At 40.6% G+C, this 10583-nt stretch overlaps 2 pseudogenes; one reads left to right on the top strand and one right to left on the bottom strand.

Annotated features, from left to right (window-relative positions):
• On the bottom strand, window positions 603-1805 carry AGGF1P2 (angiogenic factor with G-patch and FHA domains 1 pseudogene 2; annotated as a pseudogene).
• On the top strand, window positions 5781-6409 carry RARRES2P2 (retinoic acid receptor responder 2 pseudogene 2; annotated as a pseudogene).

Raw genomic sequence — 10583 nt, 5'->3', positions numbered from 1 at the left:
CCTTTTGTACTCAAAATCAGATTTTTCTGGCACAACTTCATTGCCTGCAATGGTATTTATAAAAAGTATGAATGCCAGCACATGGACTATTTCAATACTGTACTCATTTTTTCATGTATAAACATTTCATTAGCTATGAAACAAACCAAATACAAATGCTGAATGTACAGTATATATCAACAAATACAGATTCTTCACCTAAGAAAACAATAAAAGACGAATTTTCTGTGACATGTCACCTGTTCATTAGTTCTTTAATATGATTTAGGCTATTCCAAATATAAGAAAATGTATGCATCACTATTTATGTTGTCTCAACATTTTTTATCTAGGTCCTGAAGGACATAAAAAAGAATGTATATTGTCAGATTTATTTTTATAGATTTTAGATGTTTCTTTTGCTGTATTTTCTGTGCATACTACTATGAATATATGGAGACAAGGACAAATGAGCATTTAAGTGGTTATATGAATTTTGCTTATATGGCTAATTGCTTATATGGATGTTGTAAATGACAAGATAAAATAGTAAGTTTGATAAACTTATCTGTGCCCTGTGAACTTTAGTTCACTTACTGTATAACTTAATTCAGTCACTAATAATTAATTTAAAAAGTGTTTTTTAAAAGCTGCAAACCACATTTTATTACACATTTCTGAATCAGGAAGGGGTAAACTGTGACACAGCTTTCTCATGCCACTGACTTTTTTGGGGAGAAACATTCTGCAATAAAATAAGAGTTTCCAAACTCTATTTATAAAAAAGCTTGAGTTTTCTTCTGTGATTAACCTTCACTCCTCAGTCCCTTTTACCCAAGGAATGGTTCCTAGGTCATCTTTTGGAAGTTTAGTTTCTGGAAAGTTTTCGGCAAACCTCTCCTGAGCTTTGTCCCAGTTGTTGTTGTTCTTGTTTTGGAGAAGGTGAGTCTCTTTAATTGAGGATGGTTTGTCTGTCTCCAATCCTGCATGTGTTTGCCAAGGCTGAAGCTGTACTGGAGTTTTTATTCTCCCACCATCCTTCCCCAGGCCTTCTCCTGTTTTCAACACATCTTTTTCAACATCTTCTGACCTTTGTCGCTATCAGTAATTTCAGAATGAACAGATGCAGGAGCATCATCTCTTTGGAAATTTCCTTCACTTCCAATCTGCTCCCTATGTTTTCCAGCTCTATCTTTATATTTTTGATTCTCCAGTATCTTATCATCTTTGTAGTCTGTATTCTGTAAACCATATTTTACTCGTATATTTTTAAAATCCTTTTCTTCTTTCCAACTCGTTTCCTTCTTAGTTAATGATGGACCAACAAATGATTCATCTTTCTTGTCAAGGAAAAGGTGAGCTCTAACCTGCCCTGGTTCACATCCAACACAGCTATTACTGCCAGGGTGAATGTAATAAGATAACACAGTGTCTCCAACTTTCACTTTATCTCCATGCTCAGGTTCATAAGGGTCACATTTAGTTTTCAGCTGAACAATCCATTTTACATTAACAATTGTTCCATTTTGACTGTCTGATCCAAAAGGACATAACTTTGTAAGTCAAGGTCAAAATAGATTTCTGCATGAAACTTACACCAACTTCAGGGATTTGAAGAGTATTCTCCATATCATTTTCTCTTCCAATTGTAGCAGGTTTTGCAGCAGTAATGATGAAGAATGATCCTGTCTGTAGCACAGGTGATCTAATGACAATCACTCTCATATATGAGGCCACACTTTTTCCTCATCTTCCTCCTCAGTATCTTTTGCAGTTGCATTGCCTTTACTGGTAATGCCTTCATCGTAACTACCCTCGGTATGAGAGTCTGTAATTTCACCTTCTTCTGGTTCACCATCAGTCTCTGTGATTTTCTCATCCTTAAAGATGAATTGAGATGTTTTCATTAAAAGGAGATTCCATAGGATTTCCACTAACTGGAACAGTGAATTTTGGGGATTATTTTTGTGATGAATGCCTATTTTGGCTTTTTTTTTCACATTTGTGAAATTGTCTTTCCCGTTGCAGCTTGTATGTTCAACACTGAAGGCTTCTTGATCCTCTGAATTCAAATCCTTTTCCTCATCGTTTTTTTGTAGAAGAATCCTTTCTTTTCTCAATTTTTCGTTTTTGTTTCGTGCTATAAGTCTGATAAGGTTGCAAATCTACTCGAGAATGAAATCGATAGCGACCACTTTCCACATCACAGTAGTAATAAATTAAATCATAATATATTTGATTCTCAGAATCTTAATAGAAACCAGTGCTGTGGTCAAAATACAGTCCAGTATTTTCATCATCACTAAATCCAGTCTGTGACAAAGCCGCTTCCGCTGCAGCTCTCAAACTTCCAGCTAATGACGAACCTTCTAAGGACGTATCTTGTGCTGCTAATGCAGATGCTGGCTCCTGTGAATTGGAGGCAGATGACCCTCTTGTCTACACTTAACATTTGCTGTCCTATCAGTACCAGGGTGAGTGTCATTTTCTACTTATAACTGGTCGTTAGAATTCAAAGCAGGACTTTCAATATCCTGATCTTGCTGATTTGACAGTTCAGTCACTCACTTTATTTGGAAGACTAACGTCATTAGGGTAGGTCTGATAATAATAATCTGAGATTGACCAAGAGCATGGTTCTCTGCGAGTACTTCTACATCAGACTTTTATTACCTCCATGTCTCCCACAGCGGAGTACGTTACTGAGTTCTTCCAGCTGCGTGCGGAGCTCCTGGCGGTTGCTCGTGTCGCTCTGAGCAGCCGTCCTGGGCGAGGCCATAGCTTCTCCCGTTCCCGCACCTGCCGCCTGCAGCTCCGCGTTCGGGTTCCAGCTTCTCCGCCCTCCTTCTCCGCTGGGCCAGCTCGGGCTCGGGGAGGGGGAGGAGCGGCCACAGCGAAGGCGCTGGCGGCGGCTACGGGCAGAGGCCGCGAGTTCGGGACCAGACGGCTGCGTTCTCGGAGGGGCTGCGCGGGGCCGGAGCGGGGGCCGGCGGAGCCACAGCCCCGGGGGCGCGCGGGCAGCCACAGGCAGCCTCCCCGGCCAGGAGGCCCCGAAACGCGGAGCCTGACGGGGCTGCGGCAAGAGCAGGGGACGGCGATGGCCCTGCCGGATCTGCGTGCCTGGAATCCGGGGAACGACTGCGCCTTCCCCAGCCCCGGGGGCGCGGGAGGAGCGTCGAAGTCCAGGGGCCAGAAGCGCTCCGGCCCTTCCCGAGTTGAGCTGCGAACAGCGGCCAAGCGTGTTTTAAATCGAGCTTCCGTGTGGCGAGCTATGACCTGCTGGTTACTCTTATTTTTTTTCTCCATTCGTTGAGCTATGATTGACAAATTGAAAAGTGTGTATTTTTAGGGTGTACAATAGAGTGTTTTGAGATGTCAGTGGTCTTTAAATCACCTCAGTTAAGCTAGTTAGCCTGTCTATCCCCTCACATAGTGAATACGCCTCTGTGTGTGGTGAGAGCACCTGAGATCTACTCTTGCAGCAAATTTCAAGTACACAGTATTGTTAACTATAGTCACTATTCTGTACATTAGGTCCCCAGCAGTTACTCACCTTGTAACTGAAGGTGCGCCCCTTCCATGGAAATCTCCCCACTTTCCCCACTTCCTAGCCCATGGGAACCAGCGTTCTACTGTTTCCATGGCTTTTTTTAAATTTTTATTTACTTTTTTAGATTTTACATACAAACGAGATCATGCAGTAGTTGTCTTTCTGTATTCAGCTTATTTCGCTTAGCATAATGTCGTCAAGATTTATCAATATTGTAGTGGATGAGTTTCATTTTTATTAAAGCTGAAATTATGTCTCTCAGTTTATCTGTATCAGAGGAGTGCAGATACCCTTGATGATCCTGATTTTATGTCCTTTGGCTATATACTCCTAATTGGGATTAATGGTAGTTCTAGTTTAACAATTTTAAGGAACCTCCATACTGTTTTTCATAATAGCTGCACCAATTGACATCCTCAGCAACAGTGCACAAGTGTTCTCTTTTTCCACACCCTAACGCTTTTTGTCTTTTGACTTTTTGATAATAGGTATCCAAACACCACGATAAGGTGATACCTCATTGTGATTTTGATTTTAATTACTGTGATAATTAGTGATGTTGAGCATTTTTTATATACCTGCTGGCCATTTGTATATCTTTGGAAAAATTGCTATTTATATATTTTGCCCAATTATTAATCAAGAAATTGCTTTTAATTCTGCTGTGGGTTTTTTGTATTGATTACTATGACATATATTTTGGATAGTAACATATTATCCTACATATGGTTTACAAATATTTTCTCCCATTCCATATAATGCCTTTATATTTTGCTGATTGTTTCCTTTATTGTGCAGAAAATTTTTACTTTGACATAGTTCCACTTGTTTATTTTTGCTTTTGTTGACTGCGCTCCTGGTGTCAAATCCGAAACATCATTGCCATGACCAGTGTCAAGGAGGCTTTTCCCCATTTTTTTTTTAGAGGATTCATGATTTCAGTTCTTATGTTTAAGTCTTTATTTCATTTCAAATTCATTTTGTGATGACATGAGAGAAAGGTTTACTTTTTGTCTGTGCATATCGAGTTTTTCCTACACCACTCCTTGATGTGTTTATCCTTTCTCCATTCTGTGGGATTGGTCGACTGTATATTTGTGAGTTTATTTCTGGGTCCTCTATTCTGTTCTATTGGTTTTTATGTAGGTACTATACTGTATTAATGACTACAGCTTTGTAATATAGTTTGAAATCAGGAAGTGTGAGGCTTTCAGCCTTTTTGTTCTTCTCAGTATTTGGCTATTTGAGGTCTTTTGTGGTTCCATACTAATTTTAAAATTGTCGTTCTACATTTTAATAAAATGGCATTAAAATTTTGATAAAAATTTAACTCTGTAGATCACTTTGTGTAGTATGGATATTTTAACAATATTAATTTTTAGAATCCATGAACACATATTTCCCATTTTGTATTCTTCATTTTCTTTCCTCAACATTTTATAGTTTTCAGTATGCAGATCTTTCATATTCTTTGTTAACTCATTCCTAAGTATTTCATTCTTTTGATAATATTGTAAATGGAACTATCTTTATTCCTGTTTCAGATATTTTGTTGTTACTGTAAAAAAATGCAACTGATGTTCATATGTTAATATTGTATCCTGAGAATTTACTGACTTAGTTGGTTAGTTATAACAGGTTTTTTTTTTTTCTGGTAAAATGGTGGTTATTCTGAATTCTGGTTAAACTTTAAATTGATAATTGCTATTATCATTTCAAAATTATTTAAAATATGACCAGATGGATTCCTGCTTCCATGAATTCAATGGAATTCAAATCTTCCCATTTAAAATAATTTTGTCGGTTGACCTAGACCCCGGGGATCGGGGGCACCCCGTGGGAGCCCGGAGATTCGCCTGGGGGTGGGAGGGAGAAGCCGTCAGAGAGGGGGCTGAGCTGGGGAAGCAGAGAGGGGCTCGGGGACAGCCGGGAGGAGAGAGGGTCGTGTCGGAGACCCAGTGGGGAGAGAGAATGGGCCGGGAAAGGAGGAAGGGTGAGAGTGGGCAACAGGACGGCTTCCCGGCGCGGCAGGGAACTTTGCTGAAACTGCGGGCCCCAGGGAACAGCGCGGGCAGGGTGGGAGGGAGTGGAGAGGACCCAGCAGACCCGAAGGTCAGTGTGGAGAAAAGGGACGTTTCCCGGTTCCTTCGCCTCTGCCCAGCGTTCTGCGGGCGTGGCCCCCTCCAGGGGCAGGGGAGGAGGTGGCTCCCGGCGGGCTCGGAGAACTAAGGGGCGCACACCCGCTTCGCAGGGCCGGGGTGACAGGGGAAGCCTGAGACGGCTGCGGATCTCGCTGGCCCCGTGGGTGGGCGCGGGGGACGCGGGAGGGGCCGAGCTCACGGGGCCAGCGCCGGGGCCTGCAGGTGGCCCTGGAGGAATCTGCAAGCACCCGCCCGTGCAGCGGGCCTTCCGGGAGACCAGTGTGGACAGCGCCCTGGACACGCCCTTCCCAGCTGGAACATCTGTGAGGCTGGAATTTAAGCTCCGGCAGACAGGGAAGCGGCTGGAGGAAGGCCTGGAAGAAACCCAAGTGCAAAGCCCAGCCCGAGAGGAGGAAGCAGAAATGCCTGACCTGCGTCAAAATGGACTGTGAGGATAAGGTTCTGGGCAGGATGGTTCGCTGCCCTCCAGAGACGCAGACTCGGCGGGAGCCTGAGGAGCACCAGGGGGCCGGGTGCAGCCCGGCGGAGCGGGCGGTGAGGACCCCACGGCTGCCGCTTCCCTGCACGGTTCGCCTCCTCCAAGGCCCGGCCCCCAGCGGAGCCCAGCGCTGAATCGCATGGCGCCCCCTGGAGCCCTGGCGGGGAAAACCAGTGGAAGACCCCACCTCCCAGGGAGAGGACCCCACTGTATCCCCAGATAATAAAACTGTCCTCTCCCCCAAAAAATAAATAAATAATTTTGTCTGGTCTTTGAAAATGTGTATCCCCTGTGTACTGGTCAAAATGCTGCCCATTTATCTATATGCCTAATTAGCCAACTTTTTAATGAAGTTATTTAACATTCTTTTTTATTATGAAACAAAACAGTAAATTTGTCAATGGTTTTAATATCATCTAATATTATTGAAAATATGTCAATTTGTCATTGCCAATGAATCTTTGTGTTATTTATTTTACTCTGTTACATATTCTGTCTATAAAGGTCTAAGTGGCTTAGAATCTTGCCTAACATATTGTATGTGCTAAGTACTAACTACTCTAATTCATCAAATTATCTTTCTATACCATTCTTAAAATACAATATTATTTTCTATTTATTTTTATTAAAATTTTTTGCCTAATCTAATTATTTATGAAAATTATGAGGTCTATTCAGTTTGTCCTCTTGATAAAAGCCAAAGTTTTTTTTTTTCTCTCTTTTTTTTTTTTTGAGACGGAGTCTCCCTCTGTTCCCCAGGCTGGAGTGCAGTGACACGATCTCGGCTCACCACAACCTCCACTTCCCGGGTTCAAGTGATTCTCTTGCCTCAGCCTCCCAAGTAGCTAGGACTACAGGCATGTGCCACCACACCTGACTAATTTTTGTATTTTTAGTAGAGATGGAGTTTCACTATATTGGCCAGGCTGGTCTTGAACTCCTGACCACGTGATCCGCCCTCCTCAGCCTCCCAAAGTGCTGGGATTATAGGCTTGAGCCACCGCACCAGGCCTTTTTTTTTTTAATCTCTTTATTAATACGTTAAAGAGTACAAATGCAGCTCCCTTACAGAAGCATGTTGCATAGTGATGAAGTATGGGCTTTTGGTGTGACAATCATCTGAATGTTGTTTATTGTCCCAATTAGTTATTTTCTCATTCCTAAACCCTCTCCAACCTCCCATCTTTCTGAGTCTCCAGTGTCTATTTTTCCAGTCTCTATATCCAAGTGTATGCTTAATTGAGTTCCCACTTACAAGTGAGAAAATACTGAATTTGATTTTCTGTTTCTGAGTTTTTTCACTTACAATAATGGCCTCCGGTTTTATTCATGTTGTTGCAAAAGACATGATTTTATTCTTCTTCATGGCTGAGTAGCATTCCATGGTATACTCGTATAGCACATTTTCTTTATTCGATTATTGACTGATAAATTTAAATTGATTTCATATATCGGCTATTATGAATAGTGCTGTGATAAACATGTCAGCATGGGTATTTTCTTTATGTAACAAATTATTTTCCTTTGGGTAGATACCAAGTAGTGGGAGTGCTGAATCAAATGGAAGTTCTATTTTTAGTCTATTTTGAAATCTCCATACTGTTTTACAGAGGTTGTAGAAAGTTACTTTCCCACAAACAATGTATAAATGTTCTCTTTTCTCTGTATCCTTGCTGATAGCTCATTTTTCTGCTTTTTAGTAATAGCCATTCTGCATGGTGTAAGTTGGTATCTCGTTGTGGTTTTTAATTGGCATTTCTCTGATCATTGACAAGGTTGAGCATCTTTTACGTGCTTGTTGACCATTGACCATCAGTGTCTTTTTTTTTTTAATGTTCATGTTCTTTGCTTGCTTTTTAATGAGGTTACTTGTTTTATTTTTGTTGAGCTGTTTGAGTTCCTTGCATATTCTGGACATTAGATCTTTGTCACATGCAAAACTCATAAACATTTATCTCATTCCATAGGTTTTCTGTTCACTGTGTTAATTAGAAAGCTCATTTTCAGGAGCTTTTTAGTTTAATTGAGTTCTTGTTGTCTATTTTTGTTATTGTTACATCTGCTTTTGAGATCTTAGTCATAAATTCTTTGTCCAAGTCAATGTCTAGAAGAGTTTATCCTAGAGTTTCTTCTAGCATTTTTATAGTTTCAGGTCTTACATTTTAGTCTTTTAATCCATATTGAGTTGATTTTTGTATATGGTGGGACATAGGGGTCCCATTCCATTCTTCTGCATACGGAAATATAATTTTTCCAGCACAATTTGTTGAATAGGATGTCATTTCTCCAGTGTGTGTTTATGTTGACTTTGTAAAAGATCAGTCGTTTGTAGGTATGTGGCTTTATTTCTAGGTTCTCTATTCTGTACCATTGATCTATGTGTCGATTTATATCAGTACCATGTTGTTTTGGTTACTACAGCCTTCTAGCATAATTTTAATTCAGATAATGTAATATCTCCAGCTTTATTCTCTTTGCTTAGATTTGCTTTGACTATTCAGGCTCTTTTTGTGGTTCCATAAGAATTTTAGTGGTTTTTTTTTCTAATTTTATAAAAAATTACATTGGCATTTTGGTAGGAATTGCATTTAATATGTAGATTGTTTTGGGCAGTAGAGTCATTTTATTGATCATAATTCTTCCAATCCATAAGCATGGGATGTTTTTCTCATTTGTGTCATGTACAATTTCTTTCATCAGTGTTTTGTAGTTTTCCTTGAAGGCATCGTTCATCTCTTTGACCAATTGTATTTCTAAGCATTTTACCTTTTTTTGTAGCTATTGTAAAAGGAAGTGACTTTTTAATTCAGTTCTCAGCTTGATCATCATTAGTGTATAAAAATGCTATCAATTTTTGTACGTTGATTTTTGCATCCTGAAACATTATTAAATTTATTTATCAAATCTAAGAGTTTTTTGGTGGTCTTTAGAATTTTTGTATATATGATATTATATTATCATCAAAGAGGGACAATTTGACTTTCTAATTACAACCACATAGATGCTCCCACCAAGATCAATAGACAGAGTCTCTGGGGAGGGCACAGGTGATGGTATTTCTTTAAGCTGGCCATGTGATTACGGCTGGAAGCATGGGCCGAGAGCCACTTAGCTAAGCATCACTCTCAAGTCTTTCTTTTCTTTCTTTCTTTCTTTCTTTCTTTCTTTCTTTCTTTCTTCTTTCTTTCTTTCTTTCTTTCTTTCTTTCTTGTCTTTCTTTTCTTTTGACAGAGTTTTCACTCATTGTCCAGCAGGAGTGCAGTGGCACCATCTTGGCCCACTGCAACCTCCACCTCCCAGGTTCAAGGGATTCTGCAGTCTCAGCCACCCGAGTAGCTAGGATTACAGGCACCAGCCACCACACCTGGCTAATTTTTGTATGTTTTAGTAGAGACATGGTTTGGTCATTTTGCCCAGGCTAGTCTTGAACTCCTGACCTCAGGTTATCTGCCCACTTCCGCCTCCCAAAGTGTTGGGATTACAGGCATAAGTCACCGCACCCGGCTGCCTCTCAAGTTTCAATGTGCATATGAATTATTTCCGATTCCAGGCTCTCTCTTAGTAATGTGATTCTGCAGGTTTGGAAGGGGTCCATGAATTGGCTTCTTTAAAAAGTCTCCTCTTAATGCTGATGTTTCTTCCACTACATCCAATAGAGTAGCACTCAGCTAGAGAAAGTAGGCACAGCACAGAGCTCCTGACACCCAACACTGTTACCACAACACAAATACTTTTGGCTCAAAGTGGAAGCCACCAATCGCCATTTTCAAACATGTCATTTTCTGCTGGCTCTTTGCAGTTTAGAAAGCCTAGAGAAGGCATCAATGTTTGAGTAAGTCTGCATTTGGAAAACATGTACACATGAGTTAATACAATGTTTATTGAGCACGTACTATGTGTTCAGAAGTCTGTTACAGAGCACTGTTCAGGAAACATTACATGATGTGAGTTAATCCTCATAGCACCCTGGGAGTTGGGTGCTAAGTTTTCTGTAATTTTCAGGATTTAAATGAAGGGCCTAGCGTTTCTATTTTTTCTTCCATTTTAAAAATTATTTACCTGGAAAATAAAATGTGCAGAATAAAAGCTATATCGACAGATGAAGGGATAAAGAAAAAAGGATGAACTGTTCAGAGAGATGTTTTATATTTATATTTACCTTCTTGTGCCTTGTGGAGCAGCTACTGAATTTGCAGGAATGGAAAACAAGTTGCTAGGTGGGGTGTCTCTAGAAGCACTGGCTTCAATGAAAAAGAAATTATAACCCCCAAATACAGAATTATTTGCTTCCACTTATCTGCTTTTCCATTTTAGGAAATTGTGGGCACCAGCTCAGGAGAGGCAGCAGGAGCCCGCGCCCGAATCTCTGGTCTCCTTTAATGAGTTCTGTGAGAGAAGATTCTAGGGTGAGGCC

The sequence above is a fragment of the Homo sapiens genome, chromosome 10, assembly GCF_000001405.40.
Source record: "Homo sapiens chromosome 10, GRCh38.p14 Primary Assembly".
Taxonomy (NCBI): Eukaryota; Metazoa; Chordata; class Mammalia; order Primates; family Hominidae; genus Homo; species Homo sapiens.
The sequence above is the reverse complement of the archived record's forward strand: the minus strand, read 5'-3'. Positions and strand labels throughout refer to the sequence as shown.